Source organism: Homo sapiens, chromosome 2 (assembly GCF_000001405.40).
Source record: "Homo sapiens chromosome 2, GRCh38.p14 Primary Assembly".
NCBI classification, from domain to species: domain Eukaryota; kingdom Metazoa; phylum Chordata; class Mammalia; order Primates; family Hominidae; genus Homo; species Homo sapiens.
In genome coordinates, this window is record NC_000002.12 from 232508854 (window position 1) to 232536803 (window position 27950).

Sequence of the window (27950 nt, forward strand, 5' to 3'; positions counted from 1 at the left end):
GTAGGGCCACACCTGCTGCACACCCTCTTCTCTCTGAGCCTCCATCGCTTCCTGAAGGTTCCATGGACCAACTGTTCCTAAACATGGTTTGTTTGGACTCATCTGGCACTTTGATACTTTGATATTCATTCGGCACTGCCAGGCCACCTCAGGTTGAGGTTTATCCCTGAACCAGCTCCCTACCCCAGCACCTCCAGTCATGTGCCCTCTGCCCTCCAGAAAGAAACAAAGTCCCTGAAATATCTTTACATTTTTTTTTCTGTGGATAATACACCCATATAATTAAAAAATCAAAGCAATTCAAAGTTCCACTCCCATTCCCATGTACCTGGTTTCCTCTTCCACCCCATAACCCCAGGGGGCTACTTTAATTCTGTGTGTAGTCTAAAACAAATTATGTGCTTTTCTTTTTGTCCTTTCTCACACAAAAAGTAGAATGTTCCTCATTTGAGTACACTGTTCCTCATTTTGTTTTCACTTAATCTATCTTGACGTTCTTTCCACAGCAATAGATTCCTCATTCTTTTTTCACAGCTGTATAGTATTTCATCTCTCTCTGTCACCCAGACTAGAGTGCAGTGGTACAATCATAACTCGCTGCAACTTCAAATTCCTGGGTTCAAGTGATACTTCAGCCTCCTGAGTACGTAGGATTACAGGTGCATGCCACCATGCCCAGCCTATTTATTTACTTTTATTTTTATTTTTGAGACAGAGTCTTCCTCTTTCACCCAGGTTGGAGTGCAGTGGCACAATCTTGGCTTACTGCAACCTCCGCCTCCCGGGTTCAAGCAATTCTGGTGCCTCCGCCTCCTGAGTAGCTGGGATTACAGTCGTGCACCACCATGCCTGGCTAATTTTTGTATTTTTAGTAGAGACGGGGTTTCACCATGTTGGCCAGGCTGATCTCGAATTCCTGACCTCAAGTGATCCACCTGCCTCAGCCTCCCAAGTTTCTGGGATTACAGGCATAAGCCACCGCAGCCAGCCAATGCCTAGCTAATTAAAAAAAAAATTTTTTTGTTTTTTTTGCAGATATGGGGATCTCGCCATCTTGCCCAGGCTGGTCTCAAAACTCCTGGCCCCAAGCAGTTCCCACCTCAGCCTCCCAAAATGCTGGGATGACGGGCATGAGTCATCATTCCCAGTCTCGTACACGGTTTATTCAACTGAGTCCTTCCTCCATCACTACCTGAGTTGTTGCTACTTTTCTTTTTTGTTCTTTCTGTCAATGTTGCAGTGAACATCTTTGTACATCTGTCATTTTATAACTGTGTTTTTCTACATATCTGTAGGACAAAATGCTCTGAAGTGGGAGTACTAAAGAATAAGAATGCGTGAGACCAGGTGCGATGGCATGACACTTTGGGAGGCCGAGGCATGAGGATTCTTGAGCTCAGGAGTTCAAGACCAGCCTGGACAACACAGCTAGACCTCTTCTCTATAAAAAATTTTAAAACTTAGCTGGATATGGTGGCAAACGCCTGTGGTCCCAGCTACTCAGGAGGCTGAGGAAGGAGGATCACTTGAGCCCAGGAGGTCAAGGCTACAGTGAGCCGTGGCCACGCTATTGCACTCCAGCCTAGGTGACAGAATGAGGCCCTGTCTCATTTAAGAGAAAATAAAAATTAAAAGGAGAATAAGAGTGTGTGTACTGTGGGTAGGTATTTGTGTAGGCATTGTCAACTCTCACTGTGACTCTCCTAAAAGCAATGAATGAGACTGTTTCTCAACAGACTCACCAAAATCAAACTATTGGATTTTTGCCATAAATTCACTTGTGTTCAGTGCCCTCTCCCCCAGGAAGCCTGCCCTGACCTCCAGAGTGTAAGCAAGCCCCTTCCCCTGTCCCCAGCACTCAAGGCTTCTCCTACACAGCGCCGTGTGCATTTGAGATGACTTACGTAGTCCTTACTTTTTTTTTTGGTGGTTTTTTTTTTTTTTTGAGACAGAGTCTTGCTCTGTCACCCAGGCTGGAGTGCAGTGGTGCAATCTTGACTCACTGCAAGCTCCGCCTCCCGGGTTCACGCCATTCTCCTGCCTCAGCCTCCCGAGTAGCCTGGCTAAATGTTTTGTATTTTTAGTAGAAATGGGGTTTCGCCATGTTAGCCAGGATGGTCTCGATCTCCTGACCTCGTGATCCACCCGCCTCAGCCTCCCAAAGTGCTGGAATTACAGGCGTGAGCCACCACACCCGGCCAGTCCTTACTATTATTACTTTTTTACCATTTGTCTACCACCAGGCTATTAGCTCCATGAGGGCAGGGACTGTGCCCCAGTTCTCAGTGCAGCATGGGCATGTCATAGATGCTGAGCACACCTTTGTCATCTGGGACAGCCCCCTGTGTGCCCAGCACCCTAGCAGCTGCTTTGGCTGGGTGGCCTGAGCTGAGCCCCTCAACAACCTTCTGAGGGAGGCCCTGGTATTAGCTCCATTGAGCAGATGGGGAGATGGAGGCTCAGAGACAGGAGGTAGTTTGCTCAAGGACTCACAGCTGGCCAGCTGGGAAGTCCTTACCCCTCACCCCCACCCCTCTTGCCAACATCCTGGCTTGATTTCTTCCCTGCTCTGGTCCGTGGGGTCCCCAGTCCCCAGGAGGCGTGGTCCGGCCCAGGTCACAGTAGCAAGCCCAGGATCGGCCCCTCCACACCACCTGCAGTGATGCAGAGCCAAGCTGGGGGCCAGCCTGAGTCCCCAGGGGCCTTGTCAGCCTGCGCGGTCAGGTCCCCTGTGCAGTGGCAGTGGCAGGGACCACAGTGACCCTGGTAGCCATACAGTTGCTACAGCCCTTTCCCGGAGGCCCCGTGGCTGTGCTGGCTTTGTGCCCAACTGTCACTCTGTCCCCAGTGGCTCCTCATGCTGGCTGCCTGCCTCCCTGCCTCCCATTAATCATGTGTGTGGGATTTATTTTCTCCAGCAATTTATTTCAGCAAATGCAATCTGGGTGTGCCCGCAGGTGGGCAGGATGCTCCGTTGCTGCCAGAGTCACAGAGCCCAGCTTTATTGTCAGGCTGACAGGCATGATTCCCCAGCGAGCACCCCCACCGCAGATGCCAGGTCTAGCCAAGCCCTGGGGCAGGATGCTAAGGACCCCTGGGACTGTTGCCACCCCCACATCACTGTGAACCTCAAAGTCCCATAGGCCTGGGAGCCCAGCTTGCCCCACTCTCTTTATTGGTTTTGCTGCCCCTACCAATGCTAGCTGGCTAAAGGGGTGTAGGGGAAGATTAGCCCTCCTGTCCTTGGCCTAAAACGGGCAGCCAGAGGTCTCTTCCGAAGATCCAGGTGGTGGCTCTTTTCAGTTTCCTGACCTGGGGAAGGAGGAGGTCCTTCCTCTGGAGCCCCCTCCTCCCCAGAACTGCTGGGCAGCCCAGACCTGATTCCCATGACAGTCACGGAGGGAAACAATCAGCTAAGGCAAACCCTGCCACCCCCTCACCACCCCCGCAACACGCATCCTCCTTTCGGGGGCTCCCTTTCATTCCTTAATCACCCCATGCCCCTCTCTCTAGGCCACCAAGTGTGGCCTCCCTGGGGCTAGGGAAAAGGACGTGGCTTTCAGGCCAGGACAGGAGCAAGTGGCTGCTCAGCTATGATTTCAGGTCCTGAGACACCGCTGCTCCCAGTTATCTGCCCACTTACAGGCCTTGGAAGTCGAAAGGGAAAGAGCTGTGGGCAGGGGTGGGCAGGGACCCTCCACTTGGTCTGGCCCTCACCAAGCCCTTTGCAGCCTGCACCCACTCCCCCCAGCCCTGCAGTGTTTCCAGGGGCCCAGACCCTAGCCTGCGGGCACCTGCTTCCTCTCTTAGTATCCCCCAGGTTCATCCTGAGGCCCCGCCCCCAGCTTGCCCTGCCTGGCCAGGCTGCCTCTAATGCTGCAGATAATTTCTGCTGTCGCAAAGCCATTACCCTGCAAATGGGCTGACTCCAGCATGTGTGCGTGTGTATGTGTGTGTGTGTGTGTTCCCGTGTGTGTGCATGCGCACGTGTGTGCAGGGGAGGGTTGGCTGCGGCAGGTAAAGCGCCTTGTTTATGCCTCGCTCATCACTGTAATTGCCTTGGGGGATTTATTGGCTTTGTAAGCTCTCCCTGCACCCTACATGGCCTCCACCTGGCCCTGAGTGATGAGGCTGGGAGCTCTGGGCAGGGGGCTGGACATGCCCAGCAGGAGGGTAAGTGAGGCCTTGCGGAGGGCCCCCTGACCTATGCACCCACCCCTTCCTGCTCCATGCCTGGTAGCTGGACATAGAAGGAGATAGTAGCTGGGGCACCCCCACGAGGCCTCTCCAACCTCAGAGGCTCTGAGGAGGTTGCCAGTCTGGGGGTGCAAGATGGATGCAGAAGGGACACTGGAGGAACTTTGGTGGCACCCGTGTCTCTGGTTTCTCCTCTTCCTCTCCCCTTTAGGTCCCTCCCATCATCTGCTGGCCCCAACCCCACGCCTATATGTCTTCTCAGCTGTTCTGCCTCACCCACTCCTGCCTCACACAGCTGAGTCCCCTGCAAGGGAAGACAAAGCCTCGGCCCCAACCGTTTCATCCATTTCAAGAAGCTTCAACCTTTGTGTGGCTACCTTAGCAAACCCCTGCAGGGTTAGCAGTCAGAAGGCACTTGTGGACTCCCAAGGCAGGGCTGGGCAGAGGTTGAGGGTGTGGCCTCTGGCAGCAGGCAGAACAGCCTTCCATCTCTTCTCCAGTTCCTAGCAGTGTGGTCTCAGCTAGGTCAATCAACTTCTCCGAGCCTCAGTGGCCTCATCTGTAAAATGGGTCTGATGACACCTGCCTTAAGCAGTTATTATGAAGGTTTGATACATTGTAATACATCGAACTACATGAAATTCCCTTTACTCAACCAGCTTTTGACATTAATGAGTATTTACTCGGTGAAATATTATATCAATAAACTGTCTTATTGAAAAGATTTCTACTTGGTGCCTGTCCTTTTCTTTTTTACTCTTGATGTTTCGTATTTGTATAAATGCTACCTGCTGATTTTAAAGAATTCAAGTAACACAGGAAAGCACACAGAAGAAAGTGAAAAGCAAAACACAATAAAATAAACCTCAATTTCAGAAATTAAGCCATCATTAATAAATAACCACCATTTCCAGAAATTTCTTTTTACATTGATGCAGATAAGTTTAGAGAGATAGATTGCTAGAAATTTGCTGTAAGGAGGGATCCTATTGAAAATTTTAATATGACTTATTAAATCTAATTTGAGTTTATGTTGGCAGCAGTAAATGAAGCAACCATGAAGAGAACCACATGACTCCAAGAACCATCTCTACATCAGAGAGATGGTGTTTTCTAAAAAGATCATCTAAGGCTGGGCGCGGTGGCTCATGCCTGTAATCCCAGCACTTTGGGTGGCCGAGGCGGGTGGATCACTTGAGGTCAGGAATTTGAGACCAGCCTGGCCAACATGGTGAAACCCCATCTCTACTAAAAATACAAAATAAGCCGGGCATGGTAGCACACACCCATGCTACACAGGAGCCCCAGCTACTCAGGAGGCTGAGGCACGAGAATCGCTTGAACCTGGGAGGCAGAGTTTGCAGTGAGCCCAGATCATGCCACCGCACTCCAGCCTGGGTGACAAGGGCAAAACTCCATCTCAAAAAAAAAATCATCTAAGTTAACAAAAAGATTTGAAAGCAATAGCAATGGGAAATACTGATCAGGGAGAGTCTACTATGTAGGAGGAGGGGAAAATGGGAATAGTAGCATAGAAATTGAAGGTGTTAAATTAGCAAATTTCAAAGAAACACAGCCGTCAGCCAGACTGAAAAAAAGGAAAGGAAACTTATGGAGATCACAAGAAAAAAGACAAAAGACAAAAAAGAAGAACAGGAGAGGAAACAAGCAAAATTGTGAAATGGTTTGCATTCTTTTATCACAGGATTGAACAGTGGTCTTCAGTGGCATCAGTGGTGGTCTGGATGTATCCGTGCCCAAAATATTGAGTGAGGGGAGGGCAGGGAGGCCAGGGGTCTCACCTACTAAGGAAAGCCCTGGATACAGTTCCAGGATCACTCCATTCTCAGAGAACCACAGAGCCTGCAGGCGCCCCAGCTTCAGCAGTGCTCCCTTCTGGGCTAGACAGCACCCCTGCCTCTTCAGAGCCCTCTTAAAGTCAAATACAGGCCAGGCATGGTGGCTCATGCCTGTAATTCCAACACTTTGGGAGGCTGAAGCAGGAGGATTACTTGAACCTAGAAGTTCAAGACCAGCGTGGGCAATATAGCAACAAGTTGTCTCAAAAAAAAAAAAAAAAAAAGGCCAAGTTCAGCCCATGGGGAATAGGGAAGGTCAGAACAGAAAGCAAAGCTGAAAAGCTGAAAGGGACAGGCAATCCATGAGGAAGGCCCCATGGGGAGAAGCGAGCTCCTACTCAGACAAACTAGGGCCCAGGCCACACACAACCTGGGGAGCCGCCGCCCCTTCTGCAGTTTCGCATCCCATCCTGTCTCATTCTCTGCTCTCCCACAGCTCCCTTGCTGTCTCCCAAGCTCAGGCCCTCCCTGCCCTCTCTATATTCATGCAGGGAAACAGCACTTATCGATTCCGTCACATTTACAAAGAGCTGATCTAGAGCAACGACCACAGTCCCTGGCAGCCCTTTGCAGGAGGCCTAACTGTGTCAGCTCCTTGAATCCCCACCAACAAGATGGGGGTTACTAGCCTATTTCCCAGATGAGGACATGAGGTTGAGAGAGGAGAAGTATATTTGTTTCCGAGGGCTGCTGTTACAAGTTACCACAAACTGGGTGGCTTCAGACGACAGAAATTTATTCTTTCACAGTTCTGGAGGCGAGAAGTCTGAAAACACGGTGTCAGTGGAGCCCTGCTCTCTTGAAGCCTCTCCAGGAGAACCTGTTCCATGCCCTTCTCATAGCTCCGGTTATTGCTAGCTGTCCTTGGCATTCCCCAGCTTGAATTGCATCCCTCCAGCCTCCGCCTCTCTTGTCACATGACATTCACTTGTGTGTCTCTGTCTCTGTGTCTTCTTGTAAGGACACCAGCCTATTGGATGAAGGGCCCGGTGTGACCTCATTATTAACTAACTACAACTGCAGCAACCTTATTTCTGAATAAGGTCATAGTCTGAAGTACTGGTTGAACTTCCACATGTCTTTTTAGGGACACGATTCCGCCCATAACAGGAAGAGATTCACCCAAAGTCACATGGAGGTGCAATTGAATCTCCATGCCAAGCTCTGAATCATGGTCTCAGGCCAAGAAGACCTTACCTCAACCTCCCCTCACAACTTCATGGGGCAGCCGCACTGTAGTCAGCAAAGCTGGCCTAGCTGCAGGTCCCACCCTCCCATCTAGGGACACGGCCCCAAAGGCAGCCTGCTCAGCTGCTGCTCCCACTCTGCCTCTTTTTCTTTTCTTTTTTTCTTGAGACAGTGTCTTGCTCTGTCTCCCATGTTGCAGTGCAGTGGCGCATTCTTGGCTCACTGCAACCTCTACCTCCCAGGCTCAAGTGATCCTCCCACCTCAGCCTCCCTGAGTAGCTGGGACCACAGGTGCACGTGAACTTGCCCAGCTAATGTTTGTATTTTTTCTTTTTTTTTTTTTTTGTAGAGACGGGGTTTCACCATGCGGCCCAGGTTCCTACTGTGCTTTTGTCCACTTCATTGGAGAGGCCTAGGAGGTCAGGGGAGTTTGGGAAGGAGGGAAGGACAAGCACCTCCATGACATGGGGGGTCTTCAGGAGCTTGGAAGAGGAAGGCCCTTTCCCAAAGGACAACTGCAGAGATGCTGCATCATAGGTGGGTGCCCTTCCAGGTGCCGGCTGTCTCCTTTCCATTTCCAGAGGCCCAGCCCTTCCCACATTCATTCCTCGTCTGAGAAGGCTGCAGGACTGACTCATATCACCTAAGCCCACTGGAACCTCCTGACAGGAGCCTGCTGGGGTTTTCCAGAGATAACAGTGACAAGGTCCAAAGTTCTTTCCCTGTCTCTTCTTGAAATGGGAAGGTTGAGACCAAGGCTTGCCTCTGCCTGTGGAAGGATGGAGATGGAGCATCTGTGACCTCGGAGGACACCCAGGTGTGGAGAGAGGGCCTGCAAGTGACAGACCAAGACCTCTCTCCTCCCAGGGAAGAGATATGGAAGCCTGGAGTGGAGGCAGTGAGGGAGGAAGAGGAGAACTAGGGGCTTTCCTGGTCATCTTTGCATCCTTCCTGCAGCCTGGACTGTCACCAGGCCCCACCCAAAAGGAGAAGAAAGAGGGAGAGCCTGGGACAGCAGGGGTGGGGGTGAGCTCTGCACCTGTCTGAGCCACATTCTCTCCCTGTATCTGGAAATAGCTGCCTTAAATTCCCCTCAGAAAGCATTGCTTCTCTTTGCCTGACACAAACTCGAGAGAAGAGGAACTGCTGGGCCTGCCAGAGGCGGGCAACTGGGACTGAATAGGCTAGGTGTGGCTGTGAGAGCAAGGGCAGCAGAGCATGGACAGGGAGCTGGCAGGGGAGGGGAGACCCCAGCACTGCTTTGGGCAGGTTGAGATTGAAGTGCCAGGAGGCAAGAGATGCAGCCCTGGAGCAGGGGAGGGGCCAGTGCTGATCTTTTTTTTTTTTTTTTTTTTTTTTGAGATGGAGTCTTGCCCTGTCGCCCAGGCTGGAGTGCAGTAGTGCGATCTCGGCTCACTGCAACCTCCACCTCCTGGGTTCAAGCAATCTCATGCCTCAGCCTCCCAAGTAGCTGGGGTTATAGGCGCCCACCACCACGCCAGCTAATTTTTGTATTTTTAGTAGAGATGGGGTTTCACCATGTTGGCCAGGCTGGTCTCAAACTCCTGATGTCAAATGATCTGCCTGCCTCGGCCTCCCAGAGTGCTGGGATTACAGGCATGGCCACCGCATCTGGCCGTCAGGGCTGATCGTTCATTCATTTAGCGCATGTGTGAGTCGGACTCTGGTCTAGATGCTGGGACAGCACGGAGCCGGACAGACAAACCCTGCACCCTGTCATCCAGCTGGGCACCGAAATGCGAGCCTCTCCCTCTTACCAGCTTCCTTGATTCCTGATCAAGGAATTCAAATTCCATGATTCCTCCTGGGACCTCATCTGTCCTTTCCAGCTTGGCTGGGGAAGTGAGGGAAGCTGCTGTGCTGTGCCAAGGCCCCCCTCCCCTGTCCTGTTTTCCTATTCACTCGGGGAAGGGTCCATAGAGGATGGCATGGATTTCGGCAGGTCCCTGGCATTGAGCTGCTCGCTGGGAGGAGGTCTGGGGCCAACTGCTGGTACCCTTTTAACTAGACTATAGGAGACTGAGCCCCTTATAACAGCCAAGAATCCCCATCAACATCCTGCAACATAGGAATAAATACTCTAAAGAAAATACAAAGTCCGAGGCCAGGTGCAGTGGCTCATGCCTGTAATCCCAGCACTTTGGGAGGCTGAGGTGGGCAGATCACTTGAGCCCTGGAGTTCCAGACCAGCCCGGGCAACATAGGGAGACCCTGTCTCTACAAAAAATTTAAAAATTAGCCGGCATGGTGGTGTATGCCTGTGGTCCCAGCCACTCAGGAGGCTGAGGCAGGAGGATCACTTGAGCCCAGGAAGTCGAAGCTGCAGTGAGCCGTAACTTGTGCCACTGCACTCCAGCCTGGGTGACAGAGTGAGACCCTGCCTCAAATATAAAGAAAGAAAGAAAGAAAAATAAAGAAAATAGAAGACGGTTGTGTTACAGAGAATGAGACTGCAGGGATAGAGGCCTGGAAGTCTCTCCATCACATTCCAATGGAGGAAGCAGACAGGGAGTGAGTGCACGCTTAAACAATAATAAACAAAGTAATGTTATGAGGTGGGATTTTAATGTGGCTTCTAAGAGGTAACCTGTGCGAGCGGATGAAATTGAGCCAGACTTGGTTGGGTGGGTCCATACAGAAGAGAGGAGAGGGCTCGGGACCCAGCTGTGGGCACAGGAATCAGAGAACAGGAGAATGGGGTTAAGCAGAATTGCAGTCCACGCAGAAAGTTCCCTCCATTTTCTTTGGCAGTGGCTGGATTCTCACCCTGCCTCCCACCTGAAGACCAGAGGCAGGAGGGAGGCCCAGGGGCTCTGTGTGGGCTTGCTGTGGCCTGGCCTGCGTGACTCGGCAAGAATGGGCAGGACATACCTTCCTGGAGGCATGCCCTAGGGGAAGCGTCCATAGAGCTGCCTGGGTGGCTGGCTCCATCCCTATCCCCTCAGCTTGGATGCAGTAACCTGCAGGGCAGAAGCTCTGTTGAAGCTCTGTCGAATCCTCACAGAGGCCTGTGAGGATTTCCCACCCACCTTCTCTGCTCCTGGGTCCCCTGCTTTGGTGGCTCTTACTGGGAACCGCAGGCGATCTTCCTTTGGACACTGTCTCTGTTTATGCTAAAATTCAAGCTGTGTTGAGCTAATGCCTTATCTACCAAGATTGTGGAGGTCATGGATAAAAAGATACCCTGCAAGATGGACAGATACTCTGGTGAATAGAGTCCTTTCCAACTTCACCAAATTCACTCACCAGAATCATCCGCAGACAGTATTTTCAGAGCATTCCTGAAGTAGAGGTATTGTCATGGCGAGGTGCGGTGGTAACTGGGGAAAGGGCTCCTTAGCATGGTGTGCTGGTCACTGTGGAACAGCTGGCTCTCCAGGGGGAAAGAGCCCCGGGTCATAGCATTTGCTGATAAATATTCCCACCAGTTCACCTCACATGAATTGGGGAGCCTGGGCAGCGCAGACGGGCACTATCCTACCCCAGGTGGTAACTCAGTCCCAGGAGAGCTGTGTGGCCCTGCCCATGAGACTCCAGAGGACTCCAGAAGAATCCCACTGCCAGATCAGGGTCACAGAACAATGCCGGACAGGCAGAGCGGGCACTGTGCAGGGCCAGGGGGTCTGGGAGAGCGTCAGAAGCTGCTAGGGCCTGTCCTCCCGGAACTGGGCCACTGTGGGCCTTTCATCTCCCGCCTCCCTTTCCGCGCCACTCCTGCGGCTGCCTGCCTCTGCCCCTTCCCACCCCACCACCCCCAGTGCGGCAATTACGGCGCTAATTAGGCTGCTTTGATCATCTTTAGAAATGGCCACATTGGGGAGGGACTCTGCCAAGCAATTAGGGGCAGAGGGGTGGGGAGCTCCAGGGCTTCCTCAGGGGGTGGGGCTGCTGAGAAACCCCAGACACCCCCTGCCCTCCTCCCTCCAGGAGTGTCTGCCCCGTCATAGCTGTAAGCTCCTCAGGGGGTAGAGGCAGATGGGGATCCCCCCCCATCCCAGCCCTGGAGCCAGGGCCCGCCCCCACCCAGCAGCCCCCCTCTGCCTGGCCTGCAGCCCAACCGTCAGCCCTTCTTCCCTGTCTTGGCCCCTTTGATGGAGCCGCAGAAACAAGGGCTCCTTTGACAGAAGGGGGGCTCGGAGCTGGGATGATGAGACTTCAGAGGTGAAGGTCAAGCCCACTACCCCACTCCTCCCCCAGTCTTGGCCACCCTCCCGTGCACCCCTCCCCCAGGCTGTCCTCTATAAAGACCCTGCAGCCCCATTCCCCTGTGGGCTCCTAGGAGTTAAGGGCCAGGTGAGGGCTGACCAGGGAGGCGGGTAATTTTGATGTAAGAGAACGGGGTCAGATGATTTGAGGGACAAGAATTCAGTGCCCGGGGGCCGAAAGGCAGCAGAAGGCGGGCACCAAAGGATAGGCACCCGGAAGGTGGACTCCGAGGAGGAGAGAGGACAGGGGTCTCTCACCCCAGCTCCTGGTCACCATGCTGCTGGCTGTGCTGCTGCTGCTACCCCTCCCAAGCTCATGGTTTGCCCACGGGCACCCACTGTACACACGCCTGCCCCCCAGCGCCCTGCAAGGTAAGTCCAGGCTGGCCCGAGAGCCGCGGGGTTGGGAGGAATGTAGAGGAAGTGGGACCCTGGGCGGGCGGGGACAGAAGAGCTTGTCACCCCCACTCATAAGGACCTTTGGCTCCTTCTGCCCACCCTGCTGCGAGAAGGGGCCAAGAACTGAGATATAGGTGGGAGAGGAGGGGTGTGGCGGGAAAGGGAAGGGGAGCTGTTGAGCATGCCGAAAGGAATGGAGAGAAGGCCCCAAGAAGCAGAGAGAAACGGCCCGGGGCAGCACCCTGCCCTTGGCTGTCCCGGCCGAAGGTGGGCCACTCAAACACAGCTACTTTCAGTCAATAAAGCTGAGTTCTGCGATGTCTGTATCTTTGGGGTGGTGTCTTTAAAAAAAATTGTTAAGGAAAAGCACCTTTCAAAGATCCCAGTCCAGCTCAGTTGAATTAGGGAGACATCTTGGGCTGAGAACCTGGGAGCACGGGCTCTGAGTGCTGGGCCCAGCGTCCCCGGGGCTCACTTGCCTCCTCATTCTGTCCCAGGCTGGTGGGTCTCCCGAGGCAGGGCTCAGGGCTGGGGCCAGGAGGATGAGGCTGAGGCTCTTCCCCAACCACGCATGATTGTGTGCCCCCTGTCCCAGCAGTTCTGTCGGCCCAGGGGACTCAGGCGTTGCAGGCAGCCCAGAGGAGCGCCCAGTGGGCAATAAACCGAGTGGCGATGGAGATCCAGCACAGATCGCACGAGTGCCGAGGTGCCCACCCTGCCCCCCGTGCCCCAGTGAGCTTGCTGCCTACCCTGGGCCCATTCTGCTGCCTCTGTCCCTTCCCTTCAGTCTTCACTCTCCTCTTGGGGGCAGAGACTGTGTTGGGCCGCAACCTAGACTACGTTTGTGAAGGTCTGTCTCTCCGAGTGGAAAGGACACGCTAGGCTTGGGGCATGGCCTGTGCAAAGGCAGGGAGGCGGAAACACTCTGGGCTCCTGTGGTGACCAGGAGAAGTTCATGGTTGCTGAAATAGAACCCGTGTGGGCTGGAGGGCTGAGCGCGAAAGGAGAGATGGGGAGAGAGAGGCTCGGCCCAGCCTGGGGTGAGGACAGGCGAGAGGGCAGCAGTGAGACTCAAAGGTCTGTTTCTCTGCAGGATCTGGGCGCCCCAGGCCTCAAGCTCTCCTCCAGGACCCACCTGAGCCAGGTGAGGTTGAAAAGGCTCGAGGGGGCAGGCCTGAGAGCCGGGTGGGCCTCGAAGGCGAGGATGGCCAGAACATGTCCCTCGTGACACCCCTTGCCCCTTTCTAGGGCCGTGCGGCGAGAGGCGTCCGAGCACTGCCAATGTGACGCGGGCCCACGGCCGCATCGTGGGGGGCAGCGCGGCGCCGCCCGGGGCCTGGCCCTGGCTGGTGAGGCTGCAGCTCGGCGGGCAGCCTCTGTGCGGCGGCGTCCTGGTAGCGGCCTCCTGGGTGCTCACGGCAGCGCACTGCTTTGTAGGGTAAGTAGGACCCCCAGGCCTTGCCCAGCTGGGGTCCCCGGCGCTGGGCCCCGCACCTGCCGGGTTGTCCGGCGGGCGACGCGCGGGAAAGGTGGTCTCTGCTGCCCCCTGGCGGCGGCCGGCCCCGGGCTTCCCCATCTCAAGGCGCCGCGCCCGCCCCGCCAGGATGCCAGCCCGGAGGGGGTGGCACGGCCGGGCGAGTTCGCCCCCTCTGGGACGGGACCCCTCCCCGGCCCGCCCTCCGTGCCCCCAGGTGGAGAAAGCCCGGCATGCGGGCGGAGGGGCAGGGTCTCCGAGGGGCCTGCGGGGTGTGCCCCTGTCCTTCCTGCGTCTCAGCTGCCGCTCGACCCGCAGCGCCCCGAATGAGCTTCTGTGGACTGTGACGCTGGCAGAGGGGTCCCGGGGGGAGCAAGCGGAGGAGGTGCCAGTGAACCGCATCCTGCCCCACCCCAAGGTGAGAAGGCAGTCCCCAGGCCCCCAAGGCTGGGCACCGCACCCCCACCCGTGCTTCCTTGACCCTGCGCCGCCTCCCCCTCCTCAGTTTGACCCGCGGACCTTCCACAACGACCTGGCCCTGGTGCAGCTGTGGACGCCGGTGAGCCCGGGGGGATCGGCGCGCCCCGTGTGCCTGCCCCAGGAGCCCCAGGAGCCCCCTGCCGGAACCGCCTGCGCCATCGCGGGCTGGGGCGCCCTCTTCGAAGGTACTGGGCGTGGGTGAGCCGGCGCGTGGTGGGAAGAACTGGGGGTCCGAGGTAATAGAGTGTAGGGAGGCCGGGTTGCCTTGGAAAAATGCTGCCTGCTCTTTCAAAGGGGGAGGAATCAAGGGGGGTGGTGGGAAGGGGACCCTCAAGGCGGGGCTCTTGCCCTCCAAACCTGAGCCTTCCACCCCTTCCCTGCAGACGGGCCTGAGGCTGAAGCAGTGAGAGAGGCCCGTGTTCCCCTGCTCAGCACCGACACCTGCCGAAGAGCCCTGGGGCCCGGGCTGCGCCCCAGCACCATGCTCTGCGCCGGGTACCTGGCGGGGGGCGTTGACTCGTGCCAGGTATGAACCCAGTCTGATGAGAAAAGGCCGGCTGAGCCTTCCCAGGGCCACTACGGCCTCTTTTCCTTCCACGTCTGTCTGTCACTCGACTTCTCTGAGCCTCTCTGTCCTCATCCCTAAAATGGACACAAGTGGCAAGCTCACACCTGCCAGGCGTAAGGCAGGCGTCATAGGGGGCAGGTGAATGCAGCGTCCTCTCTCTTGGCCCCGCAGGGTGACTCGGGAGGCCCCCTGACCTGTTCTGAGCCTGGCCCCCGCCCTAGAGAGGTCCTGTTCGGAGTCACCTCCTGGGGGGACGGCTGCGGGGAGCCAGGGAAGCCCGGGGTCTACACCCGCGTGGCAGTGTTCAAGGACTGGCTCCAGGAGCAGATGAGCGGTGAGCGCCCTCTTTCCAATGCCCCGTCCCCAGTGCCCCAACGGACAACCGTGGGACAAGCCCGTTTCCACCCGGCCCATGCCCATTCCCAGCTCCCTTCTGCCTCGGGAAAGCCTGTCTCCTTCCGGGGAAGGAGTGAGGGGGCTAGGGCCCCAAACAGAGGGTGAGCTGACCCCTGTCCCGCCCGCAGCAGCCTCCTCCAGCCGCGAGCCCAGCTGCAGGGAGCTTCTGGCCTGGGACCCCCCCCAGGAGCTGCAGGCAGACGCCGCCCGGCTCTGCGCCTTCTATGCCCGCCTGTGCCCGGGGTCCCAGGGCGCCTGTGCGCGCCTGGCGCACCAGCAGTGCCTGCAGCGCCGGCGGCGATGCGGTCAGTTCTGTTCACCCGGACCCGGACGGGGGGCAGAGGGGAGGGGGCCTGGCCAGCCTCTGACCGCCGCTCCGACTCCTGTCCGGTCCGCAGAGCTGCGCTCGCTGGCGCACACGCTGCTGGGCCTGCTGCGGAACGCGCAGGAGCTGCTCGGGCCTCGTCCGGGACTGCGGCGCCTGGCCCCCGCCCTGGCTCTCCCCGCTCCAGCGCTCAGGGAGTCTCCTCTGCACCCCGCCCGGGAGCTGCGGCTTCACTCAGGTACCCCGCGCCCTCCAGCCCAGCCCAGCCCTGGCCCGGCCCCACCCGCGCGGCACAGCCACTTTCTCCGCCGAGGCGGTACCCTAACCCTGTGCCTCCCCAGGATCGCGGGCTGCAGGCACTCGGTTCCCGAAGCGGAGGCCGGAGCCGCGCGGAGAAGCCAACGGTAATGACGCCCCCTGCCGACCTTCAGGAGGGGATAGGCTGAGGGCCTGGACGAGGTCGGAAGCGCTTCTACTGCAGCTCCGGAAAGGGCTTACCCCATGGGGCAACAGGGTGGACTCGTTCTCCCCTCCCCGCCATAGAGCGTATGACTCTTTTGGAGTACTTGTGGTTTTAGCTCTCATCAGTGTCAAACAGAGATGCTTTGCCTGGTGTTACTGCTTAACTTCTCCGAGCCTCAGTTTCCCCACCTATAGCATAAGAGGATAAGTGTGTCCCCTGGGAGGCCATCCTGAGGTGCTGGTGGGAGTGCCACCCCCAGTTCCATACCGCAACCGTTCATTATTCCCGGGGCCTCTCCTCTTCCTCCAGGCTGCCCTGGGCTGGAGCCCCTGCGACAGAAGTTGGCTGCCCTGCAGGGGGCCCATGCCTGGATCCTGCAGGTCCCCTCGGAGCACCTGGCCATGAACTTTCATGAGGTAGGTCCCCAGGCTTCCAGACTCCTTCACGATGGCCTGGGAAGGCTGAGACCCAGCCCAGGGAAGATGCAGAGGGCCCAGCCCAGATACCCTCCCAGCAGCCTGGGGTCGCCTCTGCCCCAGCTCTGGGGGTAGGTAGAGGGTCCGAGGGGAAGGGAGTGGGGCCTGCGGAGTGTGAGCCAGGCCACTGGGGGTGGTGGTGGGGAGAGTGAGTAGAGGGGTGGGTGGGAGTGTCCACATGAGCGGGAAATGAGCAGGGTTTCCAGGTCTAGGTGAGAGTTTCTGGGGCCCAGGGGGAGAGGGGGTGACCTCTGGGGTTTCAACTCAGGAGTGAGTTTCTGGGCCCCTGATCCCCACTCCTCCATCTGTAGGTCCTGGCAGATCTGGGCTCCAAGACACTGACCGGGCTTTTCAGAGCCTGGGTGCGGGCAGGCTTGGGGGGCCGGCATGTGGCCTTCAGCGGCCTGGTGGGCCTGGAGCCGGCCACACTGGCTCGCAGCCTCCCCCGGCTGCTGGTGCAGGCCCTGCAGGCCTTCCGCGTGGCTGCCCTGGCAGAAGGGGAGCCCGAGGGACCCTGGATGGATGTAGGGCAGGGGCCCGGGCTGGAGAGGAAGGGGCACCACCCACTCAACCCTCAGGTACCCCCCGCCAGGCAACCCTGAGCCATGTCTGGGCCCCCAGCCCCTGGGGAGGACCTACTGCTCCCAGGGGCTGAGAGGGGTTCGGGAGCATAATGACAAACTGTCGCTGCCCCAGTGGCTGGGTGTGTGTGGGTGGGATGGGGTGGGGGTCCTGGGCCCCCCGTGTCTTCCCAGGTTTACAATCAGAGAATCACAGCTGCTTTAATAAATGTTATTTATAATACACGGAAACAACTCTGGAGCTTTCTTGGGATGGGACCTGGTGGGTGGACATTCAGTCTCAGGGGTGGGGCCCAGGCAGGGCTGCCTCTGGAAGCAGTTGGCAAGGGTAACAGATGCTGGAAAGGGGCTGTAAGGCCCCTATCTGAGCCTATCTCCTGCCTCCTGAGAAGCAGCAGCAGCTGGCCTGCCTGTTGCCCCGCCCCCGTGCATGGCTGCCCAGCGCTGGCCCCAGTGCCCAGCGTCTCCGCCCAGCACCCCCCCGGCCCTCCCTCCCCACCCCCCGCCTCCGAGCTGCGGGGAGTCCCAGCCTGGGATCTTTGCCTCATGTCCTTGGGCTCCTGCCCTGGCTGGCCCGTCCCCCACCGCCATGAGGTGTCAGATTGTGTTTCCGGCTGCCTCTTCCCGTTGACCCCCTCCTCCCCCAACACCTGTCCCCTCTCCCGCCCACCCTCATTCCACAGCCCTGTAGACAGGAGGGGCAGATGCACGTCCCAGTCAGAGGGATGGGATGGAGGGGCCAGTGCTGACACTGGGGCTGCTGGCTGCCCTGGCGGTGTGTGGTAAGGGAAGACACCCTCCCCACCCTGGGGTCCCCCGTGATGCTTACCCAGGCCCCACACCGCATGGCTCCTCACTCACTCCACTCCCACTCTGCCATCTCTCCCTGTGGGGGGCCGCCTTCTGGGGTCCCCACTCCCAGGGAGTGGTTGGGTTCCCCCCTGCTCATCCCAACCTCATGGTCCAGCAGGACCTCAGGGCAGCTTCCTTCCTGAGTCCCCTGCCCAGGGCCCCATTCAGTCCTTGTCGCTGACCCTCCCCAGGCAGCTGGGGGCTGAACGAGGAGGAGCGGCTGATCCGGCACCTGTTTCAAGAGAAGGGCTACAACAAGGAGCTCCGGCCCGTGGCACACAAAGAGGAGAGTGTGGACGTTGCCCTGGCCCTCACACTCTCCAACCTCATCTCCCTGGTGAGAGGCCCTCCGGTGCTGGGTTGGGAGGGAGGGCAGGGATGGCTTTCCAGTACCAGGATAGCCATGGAGGAAGCTAGAAGCCCCCACCTGGCCTATGGCCACTCCCTTCCTGGGAAACGTGCTGCGGCTGCTCTGTGCCCTGAGAGGCTGCTGTCCTGCCCCTCCAGTGTCAGCTCTGCGGTGTCCCCCAACCACACCCATAGCATGCCCCATCTGTGACACACTTCAGAGGCCACTGGTCCTCTCTGCTCCCTGGCGGCCTACCCACTCCTGACTGCGAGTGATCAGGGCCCAGATGCCACGGTTTCCCTGGGTGCCAATTGACAGTGGGTGAATGTAGGCTGGGTGTGGTGGCTCATGCCTGTAATCCCAGCACTTTGGGAGGCCCAGGTGGGTGGATCACCTGAGGTCAGGAGCTCGAGACCAGCCTGGCCAACATAGTAAAACCTGATCTCTACTAAAAATACAAAAATTAGCCGGGTGTGATGGTGTGGGCCTATAATCCCAGCTACTAGGAAGGCTGAGGCAGGAGAATCGCTTGAACCCAGGAGGCAGAGGTTGCAGGTTGCAGTGAGCCAAGCTCGTGCCACTGCACTCCATCCTGGGCAATTGAGCAAGACCCTGGAAAAAAAAAGAGAGAGAGAGAGAGAGAGAGAGTGGGTGAATGTGTGCGGATAAAAGAATGATATGGCCCTGAAGGATGGCCCTACCGTCTAATTACAGAAAGAAGTTGAGGAGACCCTCACTACCAATGTGTGGATAGAGCACGTAAGAATGCCCCTCCCAGCCGGGCGCAGTGGCTCATGCCTGTAATCCCAGCACTTTGGAAGGCCGAGGGGGGTGGATCACGAGGTCAGGAGATCAAGACCATCTTGGCTGACACGGTGAAACCCCGTCTCTACTAAAAATACAAAAAATTAGCTTGGTGTGGTGGTGGGTACCTGTAGTCCCAGCTACTCGGGAAGCTGAGGCAGGAGAATGGTGTGAACGCAGGAGGCGGAGCTTGCAGTGAGCCGAGATTGCGCCACTGCACTCCAGCCTGGGCGACAGAACAAGACTCCATCTCAAAAAAAAGAGAATGCCCCGCCCAGAGCCGGTGGGGTCGGGGAGGGAATGCAGGGCACCAGATTGCTTCTGCATGGAGATCCCGTCTGCCTTGGACACTGTTCTCCAGGAGGGGTTGGTGCCTCCCTACAGGGAAGCCCCAGGCCCAACTGTCCTTCCCCCACCTAGTGCCCTCACCAGCCCTGATGTCACCTTCAAGTGGATTAGGATTCACATGTTGGAAAATTGCCACTTTATCTTGATGTTTATTAGAAAACATTCTCTTCCTGCCTGTCAAAAGTCCACAGTACAGACACAAATCGTCTATGCTCACAGTAGAAATAATGCTCCCTTAGTTGTGCAGTGAGCATCCTGCACAGCTGTCCATGACAGACCTGAATCCGCACTCTGTACCTGCCTTCCCCAAACCTCTTTTGTCACAGCTCTCAGACCCTGTTCAGTCTTCTCTCAGGGAAGTGGGGGGAGCCAGGAGCCTGGATGGCTGCAGAGTGCACTGGTGACATGCCTTTGGGATTCCAGGGCTGGACAGACAACCGGCTGAAGTGGAATGCTGAAGAATTTGGAAACATCAGTGTCCTGCGCCTCCCCCCGGACATGGTGTGGCTCCCAGAGATTGTGCTGGAGAACAAGTTGAGCCAAGCCCTCCCTGACCTCCCCTCTGTCACCCTGCCTCCTTTCCTTAAGCCTCCTCTGCCTCCCCCAACTCTGCCAGTCGTGAGTGGCCAGAGCTCACTATGGTTCTTGTCCCTGTCCCCCAGCAATGACGGCTCCTTCCAGATCTCCTACTCCTGCAACGTGCTTGTCTACCACTACGGCTTCGTGTACTGGCTGCCACCTGCCATCTTCCGCTCCTCCTGCCCCATCTCTGTCACCTATTTCCCCTTCGACTGGCAGAACTGCTCCCTCAAGTTCAGGTGTGCCCTTTTCTCCAGCCACCCCTCACCCCAAAGCACCCTGCCAGAGGCCAAAGAAGGTGACTGAAGCACCCTCAGACAGAGGCCCCTGCCCTGTCTGGATTAGTGCTGCCCTCCCCACAATGGTCCTCCCTTACCAGCCCTTCCCCACTCTGTGGCCCCAGCCACTGGCCGAGTGTCACTCTCTGCCCATTGCCCTCCCCAGTTCCCTCAAGTATACGGCCAAAGAGATCACCCTGAGCCTGAAACAGGATGCCAAGGAGAACCGCACCTACCCCGTGGAGTGGATCATCATTGATCCTGAAGGCTTCACAGGTGCTGGGAACAGCCGCCAGTGGGTGGGCAGGTCCCTCAGACACACACAGACACACTGGCCCTGTCCACCCCAGAGACACACACGTGCACACACACACACACTTAGGACACCAATACACAGCTCCTCACACACGCAGCTAGACACAGAAGGGCAGACACATATCCGCCCACAGAGGAGCACACAGACACTCACACTTCCTGAATGCAAAGCTATCCCAAAGGCAGAGAGAGAAGGTGCCAGGGCCCTCCCCATGCCTCTGCCCAGGCCCGGAAGTCATGCTTCTCCCACATGAGATGCCTGTGGCTGACAGGGGTTTAGTCTTTCCTGTGCCTGGTGAGCCCAGGGGTGTGGTTGGCATGAGGGCTGTGTTATCCTGATGGGGGTGTCTGCCACCCCTCCTGACATCCTCATCCCCGATCTGTACCCAGGCTCGGATCCTCCATGGGGCCTACCACTTGCCCTGTCCATCAGAAGGGACCCTGTCTCACTGTCTCAGGCTGGCACATCATGGCAGGGATAGTTTTACTGTCACTGGCTCATTATCCCCAAGGCCCAGGCCGAGGAGTGGCTCAATTAATGTCCAGGAGGCTTTTCTTTGTTACTCAGGAAGACAGGCTCAATGTCTGAGAGCATTTGTTTGACTTGGTGTCTTAATCTGCAATACCTGTTTTTGGCTCGTGTATCTTTTGAGCCAAAAGATACTCCTTATTTGAGTCCTGTATGGCCTCAGCTTCTATTTTTTCCGAAAAGATAAAAAAGAAATCAGTCACAGAGGAAGATTTCCCCTCACAGATGGAAACTTCCATCCCGACCCCCCAGGGAACGACACCCACCAACGGGACCCCGTAGACAGCCCATCTGCGTCTCTGGACTGGCTTGCCCTGCCCAGCCCCTCATTCTGTCCCCAGGCCCTGCCTAGCCCCCTTGGCCTGGCCTGACCCTAAGATGTCCATGTGCCGCCCTCAGAGAACGGGGAGTGGGAGATAGTCCACCGGCCGGCCAGGGTCAACGTGGACCCCAGAGCCCCTCTGGACAGCCCCAGCCGCCAGGACATCACCTTCTACCTCATCATCCGCCGCAAGCCCCTCTTCTACATCATCAACATCCTGGTGCCCTGCGTGCTCATCTCCTTCATGGTCAACCTGGTCTTCTACCTACCGGCTGACAGTGAGCCTCCAGGCCCCGTCCCCTGCTCCCCCTCCCCAAGCCCACCTGAGCACAGCCAGCCCCAGCCCTGCCCCCTCACTTCCTCCTGGGAGCCACCTGGGGTCTCCATTCCTGGAGCTCCCTGCCTGGATCCAGGTGTGAGGGCCAGGTGGCCACCCAGAGGGAGGGCTGTATGATTCTGGGCAACATCCCCAAATGGACAGGGCAGGGCATCTCCAAGATGCTACTTCCCACGGACTCTCAGAAGAACTGCTAAACTGTCCCTCTGTCAGGGCAGAGACCAAGTCCCTCACGGTCACCAGTGTGTGACCGTGGGCCTGGCACACAGGAGGCCCTCAACTGTTGAACCAGTGGGTGAATAACAGGGTCTCTAGGACAGTAGGGTGTGAGGCAGAAAACCCATCTATGCTCACCTGACTCTATGAGGCAGTGGTTTACAAGTTCAGAGTATTTACTATGAGCAGGGCATAGTGAGTCCCAGGGTCAAAGGCCACCCAGCCCCTGCCCCCGGCAGGACTTGAGGAGGGAGAAGTGGGGCACCTTCCATCTGCAGTGGGGTTGGGAGGGCTTCTAGAGGAGGTGGAGTTTGAATGGACTTGAGCAGGATTGGGTGGGGCTACCACAGGCAGGAGGAGCAATGCCAATAAGGAGGGGGCCAGGCAGGGGCTGAAGGGACCTCAGCAGGGGAGCCCCCCTTCCCGCCCTTGCCATCACGTGCAGGAGCTCAGGTGGGAAGAGCAAGACAGCACTGGGCTGGGGTCTCTGAGTGAGGGGCTGGGAGTTGAGGTGTTATCCTGGTTCTACAAGGACAACCTGGCACTTTCTAAGCGGGGAGTAACGCACGCAGGTCTGTGCTCCAGGAGGGTTCAGTGGCGTGGGTGGGTTGTGACAGCTGATTTTCATGAGCACTTACCCAGTGCCAGGCAGAGTGATGCGTGTTAAACACACTCTGTCACCACATTTAACAGTTGAGAAAACTGATGCACAGAGAGGTTGGGCTACTTGCCCAAGGTCACCCAGCTAGTAAGTGGCAGAGCTGATATTTGCACCCAGGCACTCTAGCTCCATAACCCGTAATTTTCATCAGGGTATGATGGTACTACAGAGGTGCCAGGGGCCACAGCGGGACCCTCTAGGACCGGTGCCCCAAGGTCACAGCTGGACCCTCTAGGACCGGTGCCCCAAGGTCACAGCTAAGTCTGGCTTCCCCAGGTGGTGAGAAGACATCAGTGGCCATCTCGGTGCTCCTGGCTCAGTCTGTCTTCCTGCTGCTCATCTCCAAGCGTCTGCCTGCCACATCCATGGCCATCCCCCTTATCGGCAAGTGAGTGACGCTCAAGCCCGGCCTCACCCTGCTTGCCAGCCCAGCCCTGGGAGCTCCAAGCTGAGTGTTTGCCCACAGGTTCCTGCTCTTCGGCATGGTGCTGGTCACCATGGTTGTGGTGATCTGTGTCATCGTGCTCAACATCCACTTCCGAACACCCAGCACCCATGTGCTGTCTGAGGGGGTCAAGAAGGTGAGTACTTGGCCCGGCGCAAAAGCTCACCACTGTAATCCTGGCATTTCAGGAGGCTGAGGCGGGAGAATCTCTTGAGCCCAGGAGTTGGAGACCAGCCTGGGCAACATAGAGACACCCCTGTCTCTATAAACAATCAAAAAAATTAGCCAAGTGTGGTGGCGCATGCTTGTATTCCCAGCTACTCAAGAGGCTGAGGTGGATCACTTGAGCCTGGGAGGTCAAAGCTGCAGTGAGCTGTGATCGCGCCAGGGCACTCCAGCCTGGGCAACAGAGTGAGACCTTGTCTCAAAAAAAAAAAAAAAAAAAAAAAAAAAAGAAATGAGCACTCTCAATAGCCAAAAGCTGGAGACTAAGCCAGGTACAGTGGCTCACACCTGGAGTCTCAGCTACTCGGGAGGCTGAGGTGGGAGGATCCCTGGAACCCAGGAGTTGGAGGTTGCAATGTACTATGATCACAGTTGCACCCCAGTCTGGGCAACAGATCGAGACCCCATCTCTAAAAAAATAAAATAAAATGAAAAGCAGGGACCGGGTGTGGTAGCTCACACCTATAATCCCAGCACTTTGGGTGGCTGAGGCGGGTGGATCACCTGAGGTCAAGAGTTCGAGACCACCCTGGCCAACATGGTGAAACTCCATCTCTACTAAAAATTCAAAAATTAGCCAGGCGTGATAGTGTGCGCTTGTAATCCCAGCTACTCGGGGGGCTGAGGTACGAGAATCGCTTGAACTCGGGAGGTGGAGGTTGCAGTGAGCCGAGATCTCACCACTGCACTCCAGCCTGGGCGACAAGAGACAAGAGCGAAACTCTGTCTCCAAAAAAAAAAAAAAAAAAAAAAAATCTGGAACTTGTCCAAAGGCCATCTGTAGAATGGGTAAAGACACTGGACATATACTCCCACGGGAGTGCCGCTCAGCCGTGCAGAAGCACCTGCGGCTGCTGCAGCCCTGCACGTGTGAACCTCCTGGCACAGTGTTCCGTGAAAGAAACCAGACGCAGCAGCACATGCTGCAGGCCTCACTTTGTAAGAAGTTCAAGAACAGGCCAAATCAGTGTTTGGTGATGGAAGTCAGAATGGTGGCTATCTCTGGGGCTGGGAGGGTACTGAGTGGGGGCAGGTGTGAGGGAGATTTTTGGGGATCATGTTCACTATCTCATCACTGGTGATTTACCCAGTGGAATGCATCTGTAAAAATTCATCTAGCTATATACTTAAGATGTGCTCATTCCACTGTATGCTGCAACTCAGAAGGAAGAAGGGGAGGACTGAGTGCAGGGTGCTCAGGAGGGGGCTGCCCTTGCCTCTCGGCTGCTGCAGGGCCGGCTGGCTGTTCTGGGACAGCTGAAGGCAGTTTAGCAACTCTTTTTTTTCTTTTTTGAGATGGAGTCTCCCTCTGTCGCCCAGGCTGGAGTGCAGTGGTTCGATCTCAGCTCACTGCAACCTCTGCCTCCCAGGTTCAAGTGATTTTCATGCCTCAGCCTCCTAAGTAGCTGGGATTACAGGCGCCCGCCACCATGCCTGGCTAATTTTTGTATTTTTAGTAGCGATGGGTTTCACCACGTTGGCCATGCTGGTCTCGAACTCCTGACCTCAAGCGATCCACCTGCCTCGGCTTCCCAAAGAGCTGGGACTATAGGCGTGAGCCACTGTGCCCGGCCTTAGCAACTCTTTTTGTCTTTCAGCATTTGATGGGGGAGACTCTAGCATTTGGAGCATTTACCTTAGTTTTTGGTCTTTAATTAATCATTTTTAGTGAATGGGTTCTGCTCCGCACCATGGGTGATGTGGGAGAGCTGGAAGCAACCTGCATGTGCATCAGTAGGAGATCGGGGAATCAATGACAGAGTCAGACGGGGGAGCACTTTGTGGCAGCCAGGAATGAAGTCACAGATGTTAGGATGTGTAAAGGTCACCCCATGCTTGTAAAATGGCCTTTTTGGCCAGACACGGTGCCTCGCCCGTAATCCCAGCACTTTGGGAGGCCAAGTCAGGCAGATCACGAGGTCAGGAGAGCAAGACCATCCTGGCCAAAATGGTGAAACCCCATCTCTACTAAAAATACAAAAATTAGCTGGGCATGGTGGCGCGTGCCTGTAGTCCCAACTACTTGGGAGACTGAGGCAAGAAATCACTTGAACCCGAGAGGTGGAGGTTGCAGTGAGCCGAGATCGCGCCACTGCACTCCAGCCTGGTGACAGAATGAGACTCCGTCTCAAAAACAAAGAACAAAAAACAACGCCTTTCTTGTGGCCCCTTGACATGGCCCCAGCTCTTCCTGGAGACCCTGCCGGAGCTCCTGCACATGTCCCGCCCAGCAGAGGATGGACCCAGCCCTGGGGCCCTGGTGCGGAGGAGCAGCTCCCTGGGATACATCTCCAAGGCCGAGGAGTACTTCCTGCTCAAGTCCCGCAGTGACCTCATGTTCGAGAAGCAGTCAGAGCGGCATGGGCTGGCCAGGCGCCTCACCACTGCACGTGGGTCCCCGCTGGTCTTGGTTTTCAGCCCATCTGTGGGAGGTGGGTGGAGGCAGGCCTCACACCCACTCTGGCCCCTCGTCTGTAGGCCGGCCCCCAGCAAGCTCTGAGCAGGCCCAGCAGGAACTCTTCAATGAGCTGAAGCCAGCTGTGGATGGGGCAAACTTCATTGTTAACCACATGAGGGACCAGAACAATTACAATGAGGTAAGGGACCACAGGATTGCCATGTACAGGTGTTCAAGTAGGGCACTGATTAAGTGTATTCTATCTTAAGAGGGCAGGGTTCCCCTTAGAGGCACACACCAACTTAGATGAGGGAGTTAATGTGACACAGATTCCAGGCCCCCCCGCCAGGGAGAGAGAACTCCTGCCTGGCACCCTATAGCAGCACTGGGGCCAGGCACACACACATAGGCACACAGCTCCACCCTGTCCAGGCCACACTCTGAGCATCCCTTAGGATCCCTTCTTTCTCCCAGCTGCCAATCATTTTCTGTCCCTACTCAGTTCCAAGCCTGATACTCCAGACAGAACCAGACATTTTAAAGGTAGCCATATATGGTTATTCAACATTATACAACTTCTAAAAACTATCTCTTGAGAAAGGGCACCTTTTCCCAGTTCACATATGGGCTGGCAGCAGCCCTGACTTGCTGAGATGGGGGAGAAGAAGAGAGGGGTCTATCCACCTTCCTCAGCCCCTAGGAGAGACCCCTGGGCCTCAGTTCCTCTCTAGCCCCAGAGCCCTGTGCTACAGCAGAGAGGGAGGCTATGGTCTGTTCCCGCCTCCTCAACAGAGTGATCAGCCCTGCCTGTGGCCAGAGGGGCCTGGGACCTTGCTGGGGACAAGCCAGCATTATCCTGCAAGCCCGAGGCAGCCTCTGCAGGCACACTGAGCCGCCCTCTGCCTCCATGGCTGGGCCCCAGCTTGGGGGTGGGGCTTTGTGGCCTGAGGCCCTTCTCACCCCACTCTCTCTGCCCCTACCCACAGGAGAAAGACAGCTGGAACCGAGTGGCCCGCACAGTGGACCGCCTCTGCCTGTTTGTGGTGACGCCTGTCATGGTGGTGGGCACAGCCTGGATCTTCCTGCAGGGCGTTTACAACCAGCCACCACCCCAGCCTTTTCCTGGGGACCCCTACTCCTACAACGTGCAGGACAAGCGCTTCATCTAGGGTGGGCCTGTTGGGGAGCCAGGAGACAGCAGGGTCTGAGAGAGGAGCCACAGTCCCTAATGACACCCACTCCTAGCCCTGAGGCTCGTGCCCCTCAGACTGGGGAAGAGTCCAAGGAAGGGAGGGAGCAGCCACTCCTCAATGCTCAATGGCTCCCCTGAAATCAAGACAGGGGCCACCCGAGATGGTCTGAGGGTGGACATCGGCTACAGTGGGTGGGCAGGACGATTTGGGGGGAGGCCCGAGGCTGGCTCAGGGGCCAGGGAGGAGGCCACTCAGGGTGGCCTCAGGGGGAGAGCTCTGATAGGGGTGAGACAGATAGGGCCCCTTCTCTGCTTCTCCTCCCCCAAGGTGTGGGGTAGAGCAGGCAGGAATCTGCGCCTTCACTCTCTGGCCCCTCCAGCCTCCCTCTTCCTACCTACCCTTCAACCTCAGGCTTCTGAGGCCTCACCTGGGACTGAGGTTGAGGACACCTCCCTCCCTCCAGACCCCAGAGTATCCTTTCCTAGCTCTTTCTGCCTTGACCTCTCTGCCTAGGTCCCTTTGGGAAGTTGAGGACTGGAGTGGAAAGGTCAGGATCGACATCCACAAAGACTTGGGGTCAGCCTGAGGTTGCACACACAATCCTAGAGGACCAGAACGCAGCACCTCTCCCCAAAGGGTCCCTGCCCCCCAGCACCTACTCCTCTCCAAATTAGGGTTGTCATGCATTATTTGGGGCATACATATTCTAAAAAATCATTCGTTGTTTCTCTGAAATTTGTCCCCTATTTTTATTTGCTAAATCTAGCAACCCTATCCCAAAGGCAGCCTCCACTCAATCTTATCCTGAGGGCCAAAGGCCAAGGCTGCAGGAATTGGGAGACAAGGGTCTGTTTGTATGGTGGTCCACCTCCAAGATGGCCCCAGTGATGCCCAGTATTCACACCCTTGTGCAGTCCCCTCACTCTGTACCAGGGTGGGTCTGGGTAACCAATAGAATGAGGCAGAAGTGATGGTACCTCACTTCCCAGATTTGGTTAGGAAAGACACTATGGCCTCTTTCTTGCTCATTAGCCCTCATTCTCACATCAGTTGGATCTCTCACTTTGGGGAAGCCAGCTGGCATGTTAAGGAGCCCTATGGAGAGGCCCACATGGCAAGGAACTAAGGCCTCCTGCCAACAGCCACGTGAGTGAATGTGGAAGTGGATCCTCTGCCCCAGTAGGGCCTTCGGATGAGATCACAGCCCAGTAGACATCTTATGTGCAGCCCCATGAAAGTCCCTAAGCCAGAACCACCAGCTAAGTGACTCCTGGATTCCTGACCCCCAGAAACTGTGTGAGATAATAAATGTGTGTTGTTTTAAGTGACAACGTTTTGGTGTCATTTGTTACACCAGCAATGTGACCTTGAGTGAGCTGCTCCTCATCTCACTCCTCACCTTCCATCTTCTAATCTGCAAAATGTGTGTCTAGTAAGTCCTAGTCATGGGGTGTTGTGAAAATTGAA

General features: G+C 56.5%; 2 protein-coding genes across 7 annotated transcripts, besides 5 other annotated features; both read left to right on the forward strand.

The window, feature by feature from the left end:
- On the forward strand, positions 11535 to 16863 carry PRSS56 (serine protease 56). 3 transcript variants are annotated; one of them, NM_001195129.2, is made up of 13 exons: positions 11535 to 11842; positions 12468 to 12575; positions 12963 to 13013; positions 13118 to 13307; positions 13662 to 13761; positions 13849 to 14008; positions 14207 to 14349; positions 14563 to 14725; positions 14919 to 15092; positions 15186 to 15350; positions 15454 to 15516; positions 15885 to 15991; positions 16363 to 16863. In NM_001195129.2, the coding sequence occupies exons 1-13, from the start codon at positions 11746 to 11748 to the stop codon at positions 16651 to 16653; spliced, it is 1812 nt and encodes a 603-aa protein (NP_001182058.1). In that variant the 5' UTR covers positions 11535 to 11745; the 3' UTR covers positions 16654 to 16863. The 3 variants fall into 3 exon arrangements, with proteins under 3 accessions (NP_001182058.1, XP_047301387.1, NP_001356777.1); NM_001369848.1 differs by having other exon boundaries at positions 11610 to 11842; positions 14916 to 15092; XM_047445431.1 differs by having other exon boundaries at positions 14916 to 15350.
- Positions 13318 to 13517: a silencer, noted in NCBI's record as "silent region_12459". NCBI's record gives its function as "represses an Ori minimal core promoter by ATAC-STARR-seq in GM12878 lymphoblastoid cells {active_cell/tissue: GM12878}" and the evidence as "EXISTENCE:reporter gene assay evidence [ECO:0000049][PMID:35858748]".
- Positions 14788 to 15297: an enhancer, noted in NCBI's record as "H3K4me1 hESC enhancer chr2:233388351-233388860 (GRCh37/hg19 assembly coordinates)". NCBI's record gives its function as "activates a minimal SCP1, AML or CMV promoter by ChIP-STARR-seq in naive H9 embryonic stem cells {active_cell/tissue: H9 hESC(naive)}" and the evidence as "EXISTENCE:reporter gene assay evidence [ECO:0000049][PMID:30033119]".
- On the forward strand, positions 17307 to 27811 carry CHRND (cholinergic receptor nicotinic delta subunit). 4 transcript variants are annotated; one of them, NM_000751.3, is made up of 12 exons: positions 17307 to 17414; positions 17676 to 17821; positions 18548 to 18592; positions 19409 to 19518; positions 19648 to 19803; positions 20009 to 20118; positions 21086 to 21286; positions 22499 to 22610; positions 22689 to 22803; positions 25078 to 25282; positions 25371 to 25489; positions 26277 to 27811. In NM_000751.3, exons 1-12 carry the CDS (start codon positions 17363 to 17365, stop codon positions 26457 to 26459), a joined length of 1554 nt encoding a protein of 517 aa, NP_000742.1. In that variant the 5' UTR covers positions 17307 to 17362; the 3' UTR covers positions 26460 to 27811. The 4 variants fall into 4 exon arrangements, with proteins under 4 accessions (NP_000742.1, NP_001298125.1, NP_001243586.1 ...); NM_001311196.2 differs by having other exon boundaries at positions 19409 to 19486; NM_001256657.2 differs by lacking the exon at positions 18548 to 18592.
- Positions 17403 to 18056: an enhancer, noted in NCBI's record as "H3K4me1 hESC enhancer chr2:233390966-233391619 (GRCh37/hg19 assembly coordinates)". NCBI's record gives its function as "activates a minimal SCP1, AML or CMV promoter by ChIP-STARR-seq in primed H9 embryonic stem cells {active_cell/tissue: H9 hESC(primed)}" and the evidence as "EXISTENCE:reporter gene assay evidence [ECO:0000049][PMID:30033119]".
- Positions 24749 to 25269: an enhancer, noted in NCBI's record as "H3K4me1 hESC enhancer chr2:233398312-233398832 (GRCh37/hg19 assembly coordinates)". NCBI's record gives its function as "activates a minimal SCP1, AML or CMV promoter by ChIP-STARR-seq in primed H9 embryonic stem cells {active_cell/tissue: H9 hESC(primed)}" and the evidence as "EXISTENCE:reporter gene assay evidence [ECO:0000049][PMID:30033119]".
- Positions 26312 to 26831: an enhancer, noted in NCBI's record as "H3K4me1 hESC enhancer chr2:233399875-233400394 (GRCh37/hg19 assembly coordinates)". NCBI's record gives its function as "activates a minimal SCP1, AML or CMV promoter by ChIP-STARR-seq in primed H9 embryonic stem cells {active_cell/tissue: H9 hESC(primed)}" and the evidence as "EXISTENCE:reporter gene assay evidence [ECO:0000049][PMID:30033119]".